At 43.5% G+C, this 18,523-nt stretch overlaps 1 protein-coding gene across 6 annotated transcripts in view; it reads right to left on the reverse strand.

Annotated features, from left to right (window-relative positions):
- SLC19A3 (solute carrier family 19 member 3) overlaps positions 1–18,523 on the reverse strand; it is a 34,266-nt gene that overhangs the window by 13,802 nt on the left and 1,941 nt on the right. The window contains exons 1-4 of one of the 6 annotated variants that reach the window (NM_001371414.1): positions 8,751–9,215; positions 4,605–4,756; positions 3,349–3,544; positions 1,172–2,000 (exon numbers count right to left, since the gene is read on the reverse strand). In NM_001371414.1, the coding sequence (NP_001358343.1) occupies positions 1,172–2,000; positions 3,349–3,486 (967 nt within the window). In that variant the 5' untranslated portion in view covers positions 3,487–3,544; positions 4,605–4,756; positions 8,751–9,215. Of the gene's footprint in view, positions 1–1,171; positions 2,001–3,348; positions 3,545–4,604; positions 4,757–8,750; positions 9,216–16,884; positions 17,061–18,523 lie in introns of those variants that run through there. The other 5 variants (NM_001371413.1, XM_047445927.1, NM_001371411.1 and 2 more) reach the window with 5 other exon arrangements.

The following is an 18,523-nucleotide window of genomic DNA, read 5'->3' on the forward strand; positions in this document are numbered from 1 at the left end:
TCAAATCCTGTATTAACAAAACCCTCAGTGAGAATTTGGAATCCTTAATTTATTTTCTAAAATAATGAAAACATATACACATATATGTATATATTTTGATATTAAAAATAATCCTAAAAGAACAGGGCATGTTATTAACCTTTGTGCTAATGATGAATTGGAATCTTAGGGATTCAACTAGAATTTCATTGTTTGGTGCTAATCCCTGAGCTCCTAAGAGTTACTTCTTGTGGCTGGGCGTGGTGGCTCACGCCTGTAATCCCAGCACTTTTGGAGGCTGAGGCGGGTAGATCATGAGGTCAAGAGATTGAGACCATCCTGGGCAACATGGTGAAACCCCGTCTCTACTAAAAATACAAAAAAATTTAGCTGGGCATGGTGGCACGTGCCTGTAGTCCCAGCTACTCAGGAGGCTGAGGCAGGAGAATAGCTTGAACCTGGGAGGCAGAGGTTGCAGTGAGCTGAGATCGCACCACTGCATTCCAGCTTGGTGACAGAGTGAGGCTCTGTCTCAAAAAATAAAAAAGTTACTTGTAACTACAACACAATAGAAAGTCACAGTATTCTTATTTTTCCAGTGACTTTCATTCTTTTTATTTTTATTTTTATTTTTTTGAGAGGAGTCTCGCTCTGTCATCCAGGCTGGAGTGCAGTGGCACGATCTAGGCTCACTGCAAGCTCAGCCTCCCAGGTTCATGCCATTCTCCTGCCTCAGCCTCCCAAGTAGCTGGGACTACAGGCATCCGCCACCATGACCGGCTAATTTCTTTGTATTTTTAGTAGAGATGGGGTTTCACCGTGTTAGCCAGGATGGTCTCCATCTCCTGTCCTCGTGATTCGCCAGCCTCGGCCTCCCAAAGTGCTGGGACTACAGGTGCCCGCCACCACGCCTACCTATTTTATTTTTTGTATTTTTAGTAGAGACGGGGTTTCACTGCATTAGCCAGGATGGTCTCGACCTCCTGAAATCGTGATCCACGCGTCTCAGCTTCCCAAAGTGCTGGGATTACAGGCATAAGCCACCATGCCCGGCCGTGACTTTCATTCTTGACTGAAAAAAGTTATGCTTCCTTCTGAACAGAGCTAATTCGCTGCCATGAAGTTCGGTACCTGGAGGAATGGACTTAAGCGGGTAAAGCCAACAAAGGAAGATTAAGTGACATTTGCTTACCTCCAAAGGTTGCAATAGCTTCTACGGCCCCATTATAGATGGAAGAATCTTGGGATGGCGCCTTGTAATCCCACAGGATTTGAACATAGTTCAAAACCTGGTTAAAACCTGCTGTGGCGAAAGCCCACCATAGAGACCAGTAGAAAAGACGTTTTGAGGAGTAGCACTCCTTCAAATCTTGGAACCACTGCACAAAAACGTCCACAGTCACATTGCTTGGTTTCAGGCTGTTCAGCTGGCCCTTATTCAGCTTCCCTGAAGTGCTGAGTATTTCTGATGTGGGTTTCTGCTCTTCACAGCCTGGTGCTTCACCTTCGTGAGTTTCCTCTAATACTGGATTCACGCTTGATGACTTCTTTATTTCTCTGCTGGGTTTTGCATGAAAAAACATGCTTTTCTTGGGCATTGGTAGGAAAAGTGAGAAAAGGAAAGCCACGGAGACAGAGGCCAAGGATATGACGTTGAGGTAAAAGTACGACATGTTCGCCAGGGATACCAAGAGTTGAGCCAGCACCGACCCTGCTGTGTAGGCGGCCAGCGTGACGCTCCTGCAGTAGCCGCTCACTCTCTGGTAGTGCTCGGGGCTGACCACGCTGTATATGTAGGCGTAGTAGGCCACCTCGGCGGCGGTGACCATCCCATAGAAGAACTCTACAACCTGCATGGTCTTCACTCCTTGGCCAAACAACAGCAGCAGCCAGGTAATGATGAAACTGATACCTTGCAAGATGATGACTGGCTTGTAGCGGACATAATCGGTGAGGACAAACACAGGCAGCAGCAGCACCAGGTAGGAGTATGTCCAAACGGGGAAGATCTCATTTGTTATCTGCAAAGTTGGTAAATTGCATGACCACGAAGCACCGGTACTTTACTAAGGTACCTGTGGTTTGTATCTCAAATTCTGCCTCCAATTGGAAATTATTCGCATTACGGAGAAACATAATGAGAAAACTGATTTTCAAGGAAATCACAAGAAAAGATAGTCTCCTTTCCCATTGGTAAAAACCAATGTACACACTTAGATAAACCCCGGCAGAAAAATATATTGGCTTATTGTGCAATCTGAATTATGTATTAAGTTTAGATAGTATGTACAGTTGAGTAGATGAGTTAAAAAGTTTTTGGACACTTCTAAGATTTTCCGATTCTTTTTTTTTGAGGTGGAGTCTTGCTCAGCTGCCCAGGCTGGAGTGCAGTGGCCCGATCTTCGCTGACTGCAACCACCATCTCCCAGGTTCAAGCCATTCTCCCATCTCAGCCTCCTGAGTAGCTGGGATTACAGGCACCCGCCATCATGCCTGGCTAATTTTTGTATTTTAGAAGAGACGGGGTTTCACCATGTTGATCAGGTTGATCTTGAACTCCTGAACTTAGGTGATCCGCCCACCTCGGCCTCCCAAAGTGCTGGGATTATAGGCGTGAGCCACCGTGCCCGGCCCAAGATTCTTAAAAAATATAATTTCCTTCTTGTTTGAATATTAACATTAGACAAGTAGACCACAATGTTAAAAGAATCCAGGCCAGGCATGGTGGCTCACACCTGTAATCCCAGCACCTTGGGAGGCCGAGGCAGGCAGATCACGAGGTCAGGAGTTCGAGACCAGCCTGGCCAACATGATGAAACCCCGTCTACAACTAAAAACACAAAAATTAGCCATGAATGGTGGCAGACACCTGTAATCCCAGCTACTTGGGAGGCTGAGGCAGGAGAATCGCTTGAACCCAGGAGGCAGAGGTTGCAGAGAGCCGAGACTGTGCCACTGTACTCCAGCCTGGGCAACAGAGCAAGACTCCATCTGAACAACAACAACAAAAAGAATCCAACAGCCTTTATTTTCATGTGATCTATCACTACATCAAATATTTCAGCCCTTCCAACATCTGGAAAGATATGGGAAAATAGGGAAAGAGTAAATAACTTTGCCACATTATAGAGTGGAAGCAAATAATGTATCTCATTTTCCTTCATGGGCAAATTTGCTAGGTTCCCAACCTTCCCCCTGCTCCCCCTAACAATTCTGCTGATTTGTTTATGGCTCAATTTAATATGGATCATCTCACAGATTTAGTCAGAAATGCATGGGATCTCAATTTTCACAGTTGGAAGGACTGGAGTTGCTGATCTGTAGGGATGGGTGAGTGCCGCAGCCTCTCAAATCACTGAACGTACCCACCTTGACACCTGGATCACTGAGGTTGCTGGAGAAAGCAGGAGGCCACAGAGCAAAGACCACACAACTGAGCTGCTCCTTGGAGGGAAGGTCTGTTAACTGGTCCACAGTGGCTCGAGAAGCAGAACCCAGTGGATTCATTGAGTTGCTTCTGACCCTGCATCTGTCCTTTGTTGTCTTAATTGTGGCATGCTTCAACCTGAGCAACTCGGAAACAGGGTTGTCCCTAAGTGATCTGATGCTACAGAAGAAGCTTGCCTTTCTGTCTTTGCCACCTCACCACCCGAGGCACCCATCAGCCTTGCAGGCGAAGCCACACACTTTACACAGTGTTTTCAAGGCTAAGGCTGGAGATTGTAAAATCAGCCCAGGGTAATTTTGCAGTTAGGTCAGTGCATTTTCTTGTTGTACTTCTTATAAAGAAATGCGAGGCCGGTGGCGGTGGCTCACGCCTGTAATCCCAGCATTTTGGGAGGCCGAGGCGGGTGGATCTCTTGAGGCCAGAAGTTCGAGACCAGCCTGGCCAACATGGGGAAACCCTGTCTCTACTAAAAATACAAAAATTAGCCGAGCATGGTGGCTCATGCCCGTAGTCCCAGCTACTCGGGATGCTGAGGTAGGACAATTGTTTGAACCTGGGAGGCGGAGGTTGCAGTGAGCCAAAATCACCCCGTTGCACTCTAGCCTGCACAACAGAGTGAGACTCCATCTCAAACAAAAACAATTAAAAAAAAAAAAAAAGAAAGAAAGAAAGAAAAAGAAAGGCGTTGCTCTTTTAAGTAAGAGAAACTGGCATTCCAGAGAAGGAGGCAAGGGCTGGGAGATAAAGCTGTTAATGGCTCACCTGCTGGCAAACAGTGTCATAAAGAAATACCACAATTTTTTATGAGATCCTGCTTATCCCTCAGCAGCCTGAGAGTTTATTTAGATCTAGATCCTGTGCCTGCCAGTGATGCTATTTTAGGATTAGTATAATAGAATCAACGGAGACCTGAAAGTCTCCTATCATTAACACAAATGTTAGGACTCTATGCAAGTTAAAAATTTGTTAACACATGTAATATGTTTTGGCTGCAATTTTTTGCAAGTAAGAAGAGGAAATAGTTTGAAAAGTTCTATATGGGACACATATTATGAAAATCAGGCTCACTGAGTTTAATGTGTTCATCTTATATCAAGTTGAGGGAAGCCCTGTATCCTTGTTCAAGTCCCATAAAATTTAAAAAACCACATTAAGATATGTATGTATGTTAACTTACCTCTGCACTGGTCAGGTTTTTATCTGGTCCAGATAAATATGGGATAAGGAATGGTTCTGAGGGTCTCATCATGGAGAAAAAACCAAATAAGCAGAGGATCACAGTGGGGTAAATCCAGGAACTGCTTAGTGAAGTTCTGTAACAATCCATGGCTGATCAAATGGAAACAAAGAGAAAATTAAGTGATGCTTATTCTTTTTAGCATCCTTGATGCGATGAAAACCTGATTTTTTTTTTTTTTTTGAGATGGAGGGTCGCTCTGTTGTCCAGGCTGAAGTGCAGTGGCATGATCTCAGCCCATTGCAACCTGTGCCTCCCGGGCTCAAGCCATTCTCCTGCCTCAGCCTCCCAAGTAGCTGGGATTACAGGTGCCTGCCACCATGACTGGATAATTTTGTATTTTTAGTAGAGATGGGGTTTCACCATGTTGGCCAGGCTGGTCTTGAACTCCTGACCTCGAGTGAGGAAATTGCTTGAAATGCAAGCTTTAGACATAAAGCCCAATAGAGGATCTCATTTGTCACTGCACAGAAGAAACAAAAAACAAAAAACAATCATTGTATGGCAGCTATATTTGAAAACATCTTGCTATCTCATGTGAATTATCATGTGCACAGGAAAATTCACTAATTCCTCCACATTTTAGCTCAAGCTTTGCCTTATTGTAATGTTTATAGATTTTTGATGGTCCTGCATGTGGCTAAGTTCTCTGAGATACATTTATAGGAAGGAAACTAATTTGTTGTATGATGCTTTTCTGCATACTATCTCCTTAAATCTACATAATAACTGTAAGACAGATATCATTTCCCCACATTCCCAGAGGAGCATATGGAAGATCCAAGATGCCCAAACACTGGCTTCAAACCACATGATCAAGATCTGAATCCAGGTCTCCCTACTCCCATCAGGAATCTTTCACCCACTCCACTCTCCCTCATTCTGGAGGCCCCCTCAGCTACTGGTATTAACCTAATGACAACCACAGTGAGGGAAAAAACGTGTATTTATAAACACATTCACACTAAAGATTATGGTTACATATATAGAGCTTTTAGGGTCAATTGCAGTTTGAAAGCAGACGAGAGAGAAGGAAAAGCATTCTCATTCCGGAATAGCAAGTCTTACCTGGGTGGAATTCCAGGTATCCAGTGGGTGGGGAGCTTTACTAGGGGTTGGGGAGGTAGGAAGGACCTACTAGGTCACATCATTGCGGCTTGCCACTCACCCTACCCTTTCCCAAGGTGACCCCGACAGCTGCATAATTCCTCTCTTAAGTTCAATAGGGTAAACACTGTTTATGTCAACAAAGCCCTTGATTAAGCAGTGGAGAGACAAGAGCGATCAGATTTTGAAACTAGGATTACAGCATCAGTGAGCAATGCTGACAATGTGAAAATTTTGCCAAAGGCAAATTACAGTGACTGTTAACCTACTCCCTTAGTCCAGAAAACAGGGCTTTCTCTTCTTCCTGGAATGCTGCTGGGTTTGCTGGTGCTTTCTGTCTTCGTTGTTAATGATCTTATAGAAATGGCTGTCCTGGACAGGTGATCACTGAGGCTTGGTCATCTTCTGAAGAGTGGTCTTGCTGGGGTAGCATCTGCTGGCTCTATATCCAGAGCCTCCTCTCCACCTTTGCTGACCACGGATTTGTTCTCTAAATCCAGGTCATCATCTTCTCTGTGCATCTGAGACCTAGGACTATGCCACAGTGATCCACAGGCTGCTAAAAGCCTGCTGGATTATCTATCTTTTTATTTCTTTAGGTTTCTAATACAGCTGTCCAAATCGATTTAGTTGGGATGGTCAAGCAGAAAAAAACCTATAATAAGACATGCCCTACTAAAGTACAAGCCCAGGAGGGCAGGGCGTATTGCCTGGTCCACCACATTGTCTTAAGTGCCTAGCATAGCACCTAATACATAGCACTCAAGGAAGATGCTGAATGAATTGAATAAACAAACCACTACAGTCTACTTGAAGAAGGGTAAGGGTGAAAAGAGAGAAGTGTCAGGAACAGGCAAGAATCCAGGAGTTAGGGAAGACAATCTTATAGAAGGAAGGGCATGAGTCACGCCTCACCACTGAGAATAAATTCAAGTGCTGCCTGGTTTTCGTGAGTGCATCTCACTTCCTAGCTGCATGCCTTACAGGACAGAAAGGTCCTCAGATCTCCAAGTGTTTTACCATTTACGACTAGGACTATGATAATTGAATTACTTATGCAATCTTTTAAAATAATTTTTACATTTTGAAAATGATTTAATTTTTCTTGGAGCATTCTGTGAGGCACATGGAGGTGGTATGGTTGTCACTGGATAGATGGGGAAATGGAGGACTAAAGGTAGTAAGATTTGTGCTCATTTTCACCTTTAACAAACATCAGAGCCTGGACTTGGTCTCAGTTTCCTAATTCCAAGTTCAGCTATCTTTCCTCTTACCCTCTGTTTGAGACAGCCTGGCTATATCCTCAAAATTCCCATTCTAAACTGAGCATGGTGCCCAGCACTTTGGGAGGCTGAGGCAGGAGGGTCACTTGAGGCCAGGAGATCAAGGTGTCGGTGAGCTGTGATCACACCACTGCACTCCAGTCTGGGTGAGAGTGAGATCTTGTCTCAAAAATAAAAATAAAAATCCAATTTCAGTTTATTTTAAAACAGTGCTTTTCATATTGTGGTGTCAAGGAAATTTAGTATGGGGTTGCAAACAGCATTATTATTATTATTATTTGAGATGGAGTCTCACTGTTTTGCCCAGGCTGGAGTGCAGTGGCACGATTTCAGCTCACTGCAACCTCCGCTTCCTGGGTTCAAGTGATTCTCCTGCCTCAGCCTCCAGAGTAGCTGGGATTACAGGCACCCACCATGCCTGGCTAATTTTTGTGTTTTTAGTAGAGATGGGGTTTTGCCATGTTGGCCAGGCTGGTCTCAAACTCCTGACCTCAGGTGATCCGCCCGCCTCAGCCTCCCAAAGTGTTGGATTTTTTTAATGGTACAAAAAATGTTAACTATCAGAATGCATTGCAGAGAAAGGCTAAGCTTTTTTTCTGAAACTTCTGTTTGGGTCAGCAATATATAAATACAAATATATAATCATAATGTACACTATCTTACTATAGGACACGGTACTAAGTTAGAAGTTGTAGAGGAAGACTGGGCTCAGTGGATCATGCCTGTCATCTCAACACTTTGGGAGGCCAGGGCAGGATGACTGCTTGAGGTCAGGTGTTTGAGACCAGCCTGGACAACATAGCGAGGCCCTATCTCTTAAAAAAAAAAAAAAGGTATACATGTTCATGTATCTTTATAATACAATAATTTCTATTTCTTGGGGGTATATACCCAGTAACAGGAATGATGGGTCAAATGGTATTTCTGTTTCTAGATCTTTGAGGAATCGCCACACTGTCTTCCACAATGGTTGAAGTAATTTACGTTCCCACCAACAATGTAAAAGCATTTATTTTTCTCGGCAACCTGGCCAGTGGGAATGGAATGATGAGAACGCATGGACACATGGGGCGAACAACATGCCCTCGGGTCTGTCGGGGAAATGGGGAGGCGGGGGAGGAAGAATGGCTAATGGATGCTTGGCTTATACCAAGGTGATGAGTTGATCTGTGCAGCAAACCACCATGGCAAACGTTTACCTGTGTAACAAACCTGCACATCCTGCACATGTACCCCAGAACTTAAAATAAAAGTTGATGAAAAAACAAACAAACAAAGATTTAGCGTGGTGTGGTGAAGCATGCCTGTAATCCTAGCTACTTGGGAGGCTGAGGTGAGAGGATGACTTTAGCCCAGGAGTTCGAGGCTGCAGTGAGCTGTAATCATGCTGCTGCACTCCACTCTGGGCGACAGAGTGAGATCCTGTCTGAAAAAAAAAAATGCAGAAGAAAAAATGCACTAAATATGAACACATGTCCCTTATAAACATAGTAACCACCTGTGCTGTTTGGGAGGATCACTTCCTCCACAACAAAGTATTATTCTGGAATAGACTGTTCTTTTGTCTTTTTTCCATTTATCATTCCATTTTGATCCCGTCATATTATCCGCCTCTAAAAAAGTGCTCTAAACGTCCCTTTGCTTCCACTGCTTCTAAGGTGAGGACATGAATTGACTTGATTTTCTGAGTTCATACCTGTGAAAGCCAGATGTTTACCTTTCCCCTTCATTTTCTGTGTGTTCCAAATCACAAGATAGTCCTTTTAAAAGTTACTCCTGTAGCAGTCATCTTCACCCATTATTATAAGCTCTATCACTTTTTAAAAAGGTACAAGAACACTGTGTAAACGGTAGATTAAAAATTTTAAAAGGCTGGGTGTAGTGGCTCATGCTTGTAATCCCAGCGCTTTGGGAGGCTGAGGCAGGTGGATCACCTGAGGTCAGGAGTTCAAGACTAGCCTGGCCAACAGAGTGAAACCCCATCTCTACTAATAACGCAAAAATTAGTCGGTTGCGGTGGTGGGTGCCTGTAATCCCAGCTACTTGGGTGGCTGAGGCAGGAGAATCACTTGAACCCGGGAGATGGAGGTTGCAGTGAGTGGAGATCATGCCACTGCACCCCAACCTGGGCAACAGAGAACGACTGTGTTAATAACAACAACAAAAGGCACATTCCCTAAACAAAAGTCAGCCTATCAGGCTCTCACGATTTGAAACATGCAGTGAAGATGCTGAAAGTAGAAAGAAAGAGTCAATTCATCAGCTGCTCTTTTTAGCAGAGACTCAGAGCAGCTAAATCCACAACAGACCTTACCTTGGTGGACTTGGACGCACAGGAGAGAGTTTACAGTGGCACAGTGTTAGCTACAACAGCAGATTGAGGAGGTGAACCCTGAGCTTTGGCCTTTGCTCCACTCCAGAGCTACAGTGACCCTGGGCGGGTCTCCCTGCTGCACCTGCACGGCAGACCAGAGTGCACTTGTCCCCTGACCCTGTTGCAGCACACCACATGAGCCCTGAAGAAAATGGCCACAGACACTGTGGGGATACACAGAGGCGCTGATCCAGCCAACATCTTTGACTTTGAATGAGCCAACACCTTTGCATTGCAAGTGGTCACTTCAGTTGCCTTGGAACTGATGGGTTCCTTTCTTCTTTTGCTGGTAGAAAAATAATTATTTTTCAGCCAGGCGCGGTGGCTTATGCCTGTAATACTACCACTGTGGGAGGCCAAGTCAGGTGGATCGCTTGAGCTCAGGTGTTCGAGACTAGCCTGAGCGACACGGTGAAACCCTGTCTCTACAAAAATACAAAGTTAGCCAGGCATGGTGATGCGCACCTGTAATCCCAGCTACCTGGGAGGCTGAGGTGGGAGGATCACTGAAGACCTGAAGGCGGAGGTTGCAATGAGCTGAGATGGTGCCACTGCACTCCAGCCGGGCAACGGAGCAAGACCCTGTTCTCAAAAAATATACAATAAAATAAAATATAATAAAAAAAAACAAATTTAAAAAATAATGGAAATAATTATTTTTCATATTATGAAAAAAGCCACAGCTGTCCCACCAAGGGATGCTTCAGTTCTCTACTGTTTGGCCTCCAGCTTCTCTCAATCTCTATTTTTTTTGAGACAGAGTCTCACTCTATTGCCCAGGCTGGAGTCCAGTGGTGCAATTTCAGCTCACTACAACCTCTGCCTCCCAGGTTCAAGCAATTCTCCTGCTTCAGCCTCCCAAGTAGTTGAGATTACAGGTGCCTGCCACCATGCCTGGCTAGTTTTTTGTATTTTTAGTAGAGACGGGATTTCACCATGTTGGCCAGGCTGGTGTTGAACTCCTGACCTCAGGTGATCCACTTGCCTTGGCCTCCCAAAGTGCCAGGATTACACATGTGAGCCACCGCGCCCAGCCTGAATCTGTATTTGGAGCCCATTGCCATGTATTCCACATAAGGCCACATTGTTTACTGCTGGCTCCCCTTCTTTGGGGTACGTGGGGTGCCACAGCCTTTTGAAAAAAACTCTCTTGCTAGCATACCTAATCCTACTTCATTTTAAAATGCTCTTAGTTTTCTTTTTTTTAATCTCCCACAAAAGTTAACTTGTATTTTGACTATGAATGAATTTGGCAGGAGTGGCTTCTCATGATTTTTGTTTTTATCTGCCTTGCAACCTATTACATGTTTGCAAAATTTCTTTTTATGCAACCTATTACACAGTTGTAGTCTCTTTGTATCAGAGTTCAATTTTTTCTTTCTTCTTTTATTTCAATTATTACCATGTTATTGGCTTTTCCACTTTTAACCATCTCCTTAAATTGTTCTTTCCACCTGGCAGCCGGACACGGTGGCTCATGCCTGTAATCCCAGCATTTTGGGAGGCTGAGGCGGGAGGATTGCTTGAGCCCAGGAGAGCCTGGCAACATAGTGAGACCCTGTCTCTATCAAACAAACAAACAAACAAACAAACAAACAAACCAAAAAAACAACAAAAAAAACTTTCCAACTGGCTGCAGGCTAACCTTCTTTGATAGATAAATGCTTTCACAATAATTATAAGTGTTTAGTTGATTTTTAATACTATCTCTGAAACTGTCAGTGTTCTTATAGTGACTGCAAGATAAGTTCATTTGTCATCCTAATTCTGTAGCATAGAAAAACTAAGGTTTTTGTTTATTTGTTTTTAGTGGGAAACAAAAAAAAATTACTTCATTGCTAGGATCTCATTTGGAGTGAGTTACAAATGAAGATTGGAACTCACATCTCCTGGGTTTGCTGCTGTATTTCCTTCAGTGAGTCTTATCTCAGAGTCACTGTGCGGATTAAGACCTTTCCATAGTTGTGCACACAACAATGTTCACGTATTGTTCATATATGCATTGGGGAATCATATTGGATCTAAGCTAATTTGGACCTTATTTAAATTTCAGACATGGATAGTGTCCTATTTCCTAATCCATAGGTTGTCTGTATCTATCTCTAAGTGCATATACTTAAAAGCCCTATGTCCACAAATATTTCCAAGTATATTTTCCATTTTTGTAGGGTAAACAACTGTTAAAAAGCAAGAACTGCAGAAACTGAGGCCGGGCACTGTGCCTCATGCCTGTAATCCCAGCACTTTGGGAGGCTGAGGCGGGTGGATGACTTGAGGTCAGGAGTTCAAGATCAGCCTGGCCAACATTGGTGAAACCCCGTCTCAAACTAAAAAATGCAAAAATTAGCCAGGCATGGTGGCGGGCACCTGTAATTCCAGCTACTTGGCAGACTGAGGCACGAGAATCACTTGTACCTGGGAAGTGGAGGTTGCAAATGCCAAGATTGAGCAAATGCACTCCAGCCTGGGTGACAGAGCGAGACTCTGTCCCAAAAACAACAACAACAAAAGAACTGCAAAGCTGGCATGCACTGGTGGGTTTCCTGAAGCCAGGGTGATTTTCTAGCTAAGGTAAAGCCTTATTTGGTCAGATTCCTCCACCCATACACACCCACTTGCACACCCAGAGGATGGAATTCTCCCACAGCCAAAGCACTCAGAGCTGTGGGGCTCCCTGAGGTAGGGGACAAGGTGACCTGATGAAAGCAAGTAACTCCCTCAAACCTGATAAGTTTCCCACAACTGACTGCCTGGAGAAGAACAAGATATTGGGTGGGTGGAAAGAAATCACTTTATCAAGTCCTCGTCCATGTTGTACTGACAATACTGCCAGAATTAACCCAGATGCCAGTAATTTGGAAGGAAATTATCTACAATAGTGGTACCCAACCTTCCTGGCACCAGGAACCCGTTTCATGGAAGACAATTTTTCCATGAAAAAATGGGGGAGGAGTTAGGGGGAATGGTTTTGGGATGAAACTGTTCCATCTCAGATCATCAGGCATTAGATTCTCACAAGGAGCTCGTAACCTAGATCCCTTGCATGCACAGTTCACAGTAGGATTTGCACTTCCAGGAGAATCTAATGCCGCCACTGATCTGACGGGAGACGGAGCTCAGGTGGTAATGCTTGCTTGCCCGCCACTCACCTCCTGCTGTAATGGCCCGTTCTTAACAGGCCATAGGACCCCTGATCTAGAATCCCCACTCTCCACCTACTTCCTGCCCACTCCTTTCTACTAATCATTCCAGCCATCTCAGAGAGGGTGTCTAGCCAGGCAGCCATCTGAGAAATGGGCTAGCCTGATTTTCACAATAGGCTAGAACTTTACTGCAGTCAAAACACTTCTTTCAAACAGAAGAGCAATAAATTGGTAATTATATGTTTGCCAGACTCCATCTCTACAAAAATACAAAATAAGGCTGGGTGCGGTGGCTTACACCTGTAATCCCAGCACTTTGGGAGGCCGAGACGGGTGGATCACCTGAAGTTAGGAGTTCGAGACCAGCCTGGCCAACATGGCAAAACTCGGTCTGTACTAAAAATATAAAAATTAGCCAGTTCAAGACCCGCCTGGGCAACATAGAGACCCCATCTCTTTAAATATTAAAAAAAAGAAAAACGAATCTTACAGAGCATGATCTTCAGCTCCTTCCCCCCCAGTTTTTAGACTATCTATGGACCCCACTCCAAGCTATCTTATTAGCATAAACACGTTATCAAAGAGGGTCATTATGAATAAAAAGACACCTGTTACTCAGGAATTCCCAAAAGTTTTAGCTTAAAGACCAAATACATTTTATGTTATATCAGTTACAGTTTCCAAAAAGCCCACCTCCCAGGCTTTCAACACTGCTAGAGTCAAGCCCTTCCCTAGACAGAGCAAACTCAAAGTCTGATTACTAAAAACAAAAATATTTGCTTTTAGCTGACATATCAGAGCAGACAAACTAATTATGCCTTTTAATCTGCTTATTACTAAAATAGAAGAGAATATAACTTTCAGTAAAACATTCAAATAAAGCAAAGGGCTGCAGTCAGCTTAAGTCAGGGCAAGATGGTCCTGAAGGAAGGCAGGGGAAAGGATTCCAGGGTCTTGCTTAACCACCGTCGTTCTGCTGCAGTCAGAATTAGTGGGTGGTGGCCAGGCGCGGTGGCTCCCGCCTTTAATCCCAGCATTTTGGGAGGCTGAGACAGGCAGATCACCTCAGGTCAGGAGTTCGAGACCAGCCTGGCCAAAATGGTGAAACCCCGTCTCTAATACAAATACAAAAGAATTAGCTGGGCATGGTGGTGGGTTCCTATACTCCCAGCTACTTGGGAGGCTGAGGCACAAGAATCTCTTGAACCCAGGAGGTGGAGGCTGCAGTAAGCCAAGATAGTGCCACTGCATTGTGGCCTGGGTGACAGAGCGAGACTCTGTCTCAAAAAAATAAAATAAAATAAAATAAAATAAAATAATAAAATAAAATAAAAATTGGAAGGTGGTTCCACCAACTTCTAGGGAGTTATTGTATTCTGGCTGTAACTTCATCTTACTTGAAATGCATCTTACTGATCACTGCCTCACTCCATACACAAAAACTAATTTGACATAACAAATACTAACACCACAGCATGCCATCCAGAAGGAAACAGATCTTCGTTACCTAGGGACTGGCACATATTTGAAATAATAAAAAGAATCTTAAAAGAAAAAAAAGATAAATTGCATTTCATCAAAAAGCCACATCTGCTTATCAAGAGGTACTGTTAAGAAACTGAATGGAAAGGAGGCTGGGCACCGTGGCTCATGCCTATAGTCCCAGCATTTTGGGAGGCCGAGGTAGGTGGATTACTTGAGGTCAGGAGTTTGAGACCATCCTGGCCAACATGGCGAAACCCCGTCTCTACTAAAAATACAAAAATTACCCAGGCGTGGTGGCACAAGCCTGTAATCCCAGCTACTCGGGAGGCTGAGGTAGAAGAATCGCTTGAACCCAGGAGGTGGAGGTTGTAGTGAGCCGAGATCCCGCTATTGCACTCCAGCCTGGGCGACAGAATGAAACTCTGTCTCCAAAAAAAAAAAAAAAAAAAAAAAAAAAGCCACATCTGCTTCTCAAGAGGTACTGTTAAGAAACTGGCAAGGGACCAGGTGCAGTGGCTCACGACTGTAATCCCAGCACTTTGGGAAGCTGAAGCAGGAGGGTCACTTGAGCCTGGGAGTTCAAGACCAGCCTGGACAACACCTTTTTTTGTCTGTACAAAAAAATACCACACACAGACACACACACACAAAGGCAAAGAAATTAGAAAGGGAAGCCACAGACTGAAGAGAAAATAGTCTTAAAAGCAATATCTGATAAAAGAATTGTCTCCAAAATAAAGAACCCCTGTAACTCAATAAGAATAGATGAACAAAAGATTTAAATACTTTGCAAAAGATGTGGTTGGCCAAGAGCACATGCAAAGATACTCAACATAAGTAATCAGAAATCCTAAGTTAAGACTAGGAGAGAAAACTAGCACTAGAATGGCTACAGAGGCCAGCATACCAAATGTTGGCAAAGATTTACAGCAAGTGAATCCATATACATTGCTTGTTCGAATGTAAAATGGCACCAACCCTTTGGAAAATCATTTGGCAATCTATCCAAGAATGTTCATATATTTATATTTGTGAAAAAATGAGAAGCAACTAAATGTCCATTAAATGGGGAATGAATAAATAATGATAAATTTTGGCAACCAATACTAATTAGCAATAAAAAGGAGTGAACTACTGCAAATACGTGAATGAACATAAAAAGAAAAATTTGCTGTGCCAAGGAATCCAGACACAAAAAAATGTATGATTTCATTAACATATAAAGTCCTAAAACAAGCAAAACTTATCTGTAGTGATGGAAATCGGATTGGTGGTTGCCTGGGGTGGGAGGTAGGGAAGAGAGTGACTGCAATAGAGCGCAGGGGAACTTCCTGGGGTGACCAAAACACTCTACACCTTGATTGTGGTGATGATTACAAACATTTGTCCAAACTCATGCATTCATACTATACACTTATAATATACATTTTCTTATTTGTAAACCACACTGCTAGGGTTTGAATATCTGTCCTCTTCAAAACTCATGTTAAATCTTAATCCCAGGCTGGGTGCAGTGGCTCACACCTATAATCCCAGCACTTTGAGAGGCTGAGGCAGGATTGCTTGAGGCCGGGAGTTCAAGATCAGACTGGTCAAGATAGCAAGAACACGGTTCTACAAAAAAATTAAGTAAATGACTGGGCATGGTGGTATATGCCTGTAGTCCTAGCTACTGAGAAGCTGAGGCAGGAAAATCCCTTGAGCCCAGGATATCAAGGCTGCAGTGAGCCATGATTGCACCATTGCATTCCAGGTTGGGCTGGACAGTGAGACCCTGTTGTAAAAAAAAAAAAAAAAAAAAAAGAGGGGGTGGGGCTTTTCAAGAGTGATTAGATCATAAGGGCTCTGTGCTCATGAATGAATTAGCTCATTCATGAATTAATGGAGTCAAAGGTTAATGTATTAATGGGTCATCATGGGAGGGGAACTGGTGGTTTTCTAAGAGAAAGCCCTGAGCTTGCAGCCTTAGCCCTCTGACCATGTGATACCTGCGCCACCTTGGGATTCTTTAGAGTCCATATTAGAAAGAAGTGCCCCCTAAACCTTGGACTTCCCAGCCTCCATAACTGTAAGAAATAAAGCTCTTTTCTTTCTAAATTTCCCACGTTCAGGTATTGTTATAAGCAACAGAAAACAGATTAAGAAAAAAAAGATGTACTTCAACAAAGATGATTTGAAAAAAAAACAACAAAACAAATCACTGATACACGGAAGAAAATAAAGCAGTCTCAAACATTATCCTGTGTACAAGAATCCAGATACAAAAAGGACATAGCATGAAGATTTCATTTACGCCAGGTCCAAAACAACCGAAACTACTTCATGCTGATAGAAATCACAACTACGGTCATCTTGGAGGTGGGGGTGGGTAAGAATTGATGGTAAAAGGGCAGGAGGCAATTTTCTGGGTTGATGAAATATCCTATATCTTGATGGGATATAGTTATGTGGGTGTATACAATTATAAACACTTAAAATCTTTGTTTGTATGTAGATTATACCTCAACTTAAAGAAATGCATCCTATTCTCCCTCCTCCAAAGCATTTTACTGTGTACAACTCTCTGTAGCTCTGGACTTTTCTAGGGGTGCAATGACTATTTTAAATTTAAAGTCCACATCAGGGCAAGGCCTCCGTATAATAGGAAAACTGAACAGGATCTTTGAAACTGAGTCTGTCCCAGAACATTTCTGATGAAAACAGTGCCCGTAACGCAAAGCTAGGACAGGGCAATAAACCTTGTAAGTCTGGCCACATATAACATTTTTCAGTTAATACAGATAGAATCTGAATCTCAGAAGCTGAGGCAGGAGGATCCCTTGAGTTACCTGTTTTTTTCTGTGCCCCCAGTTTCTTTCTTTCTAGAACCAAGCTGGCTTCCTGCCTTCAGGTCCAACTTCTGCTCCTTCCTGCTGCCCGCCACTATGAAAATCCCTTTCCATACCCTGGAGTCTCTTGTCCTCCTCCTTCAGACAGAGCTGCCAAGAGCAATAGCTTTATACGCAGAAGCCCATCCACTTCTGGTGGCTTTATGTACTGGGGCCCACCCTCTTCTGCAGCCGATGACATTTGAAATCCCATCCAAAAAAAAAAAAAAAAAAAAGCAGACACCCAGATCCAGATCTTTCTGAAATACAAGTGATTAGAGAGATAAATACATGAATAACACCTTTCCCTGACTATTCTTTTTTTTTTTTTTTTTTTTTTTGAGACAGAGTCTCCCTCTGTCACCCAGGCTGGAGTCTGGAGTGTAGTGGCACAATCTCCCCACTCACCGCAACCACTGCCTCCTGGGTTCAAGCGATTCTCCCACCTCAGTCTCCTGAGTAGCTGAGACCACAGGCACCCGCCACCAGGCCTGGCTAATTTTTGTATTTTTAGTAGAGACAGGGTTTTGCCTTGTTGGTCAGGCTGGTTTTGAACTCCTGACCTCAAGTGCTCCACCCGCCTCAGCCACTCAAAGTGCTGGGATTACAGGTGTGAGCCGCCGTGCCTGGCCTTGCCCTGACTATTCTTACTAAAGTCACCTAATTTAGCTTCTATAGAATTTTGTGCTAAGTGACCTAGACTCTCAAAAAACTACAAAGTAGCCTTATCACCCATCTATAATCCTTTATGTCAAACCCCACACCCCCCCCAAAAAAAAATCTTTGCTGAAATAAAGCATGCCACACAACTTCCAAAGACGTAAACTAGACCCAGATATTCAGTATGTGGGCCAGAATAGTTCTGTTGTTTGTTTTTGTAAGAGCAGAAACAAGTGATATTTTTAAAATTTTATTTTTAGTAAAGATGGGGCTTTGCCATGTTGGCCAGGCTACTCTTGAACTCCTGGCCTCAAGAAATCCGCCTGCCTTGGCCTCCCAAAGTGCTGGGATTACAGGTGTGAGCCACCGCACCCAGCCCAAGTGATCTTTAAGATGCTTCAGATTTTATTTTATCATATATGGTACCATTCCTTTTAATTTGCATGAGGTGTTTGCTGGTAAATTAATCATTTCCTTCCAAATTCTGTTTATTCTGTTATGTCTATGTTCAGATCAATCTAGTCTTAGGGAGAGCAGGAGGAATATGCCTAAGAAAACCATAAAACTAAGAAAAACATAAAACGGCTTAGAAAGTCAACTGAGCCCAGCCTGGGCAAAATAGCGAGACCTCACCTCTATAAAAAATACAAAAATTAGCTAGGCATGGTGGTGTGTGCCTATAGTGCCAGGTAGTTGGGAGACTGAAGTGGGAAGATTGCTTGAACAGGGAAAGTCAAGGCTGCGGTGAGCCGAGATCCCAGCCACTGCACTCCAGCCTGGGCAACAAGAGCGAGACTCCGTCTCAAAAAAAAAAAAAAAAAAAAAAAATTTCAAAAACCCCAAACAAAACAAAACAAAAAAGGAAAGTCAGCTGACATCTAATCCTTGAGATGCAGTGAAAGTTTCTGATTAAATGCACTGAGAGAAGGTGGTGTTGTAG

This window comes from Homo sapiens, chromosome 2 (assembly GCF_000001405.40).
Source record: "Homo sapiens chromosome 2, GRCh38.p14 Primary Assembly".
In the NCBI taxonomy this organism is placed as follows: domain Eukaryota; kingdom Metazoa; phylum Chordata; class Mammalia; order Primates; family Hominidae; genus Homo; species Homo sapiens.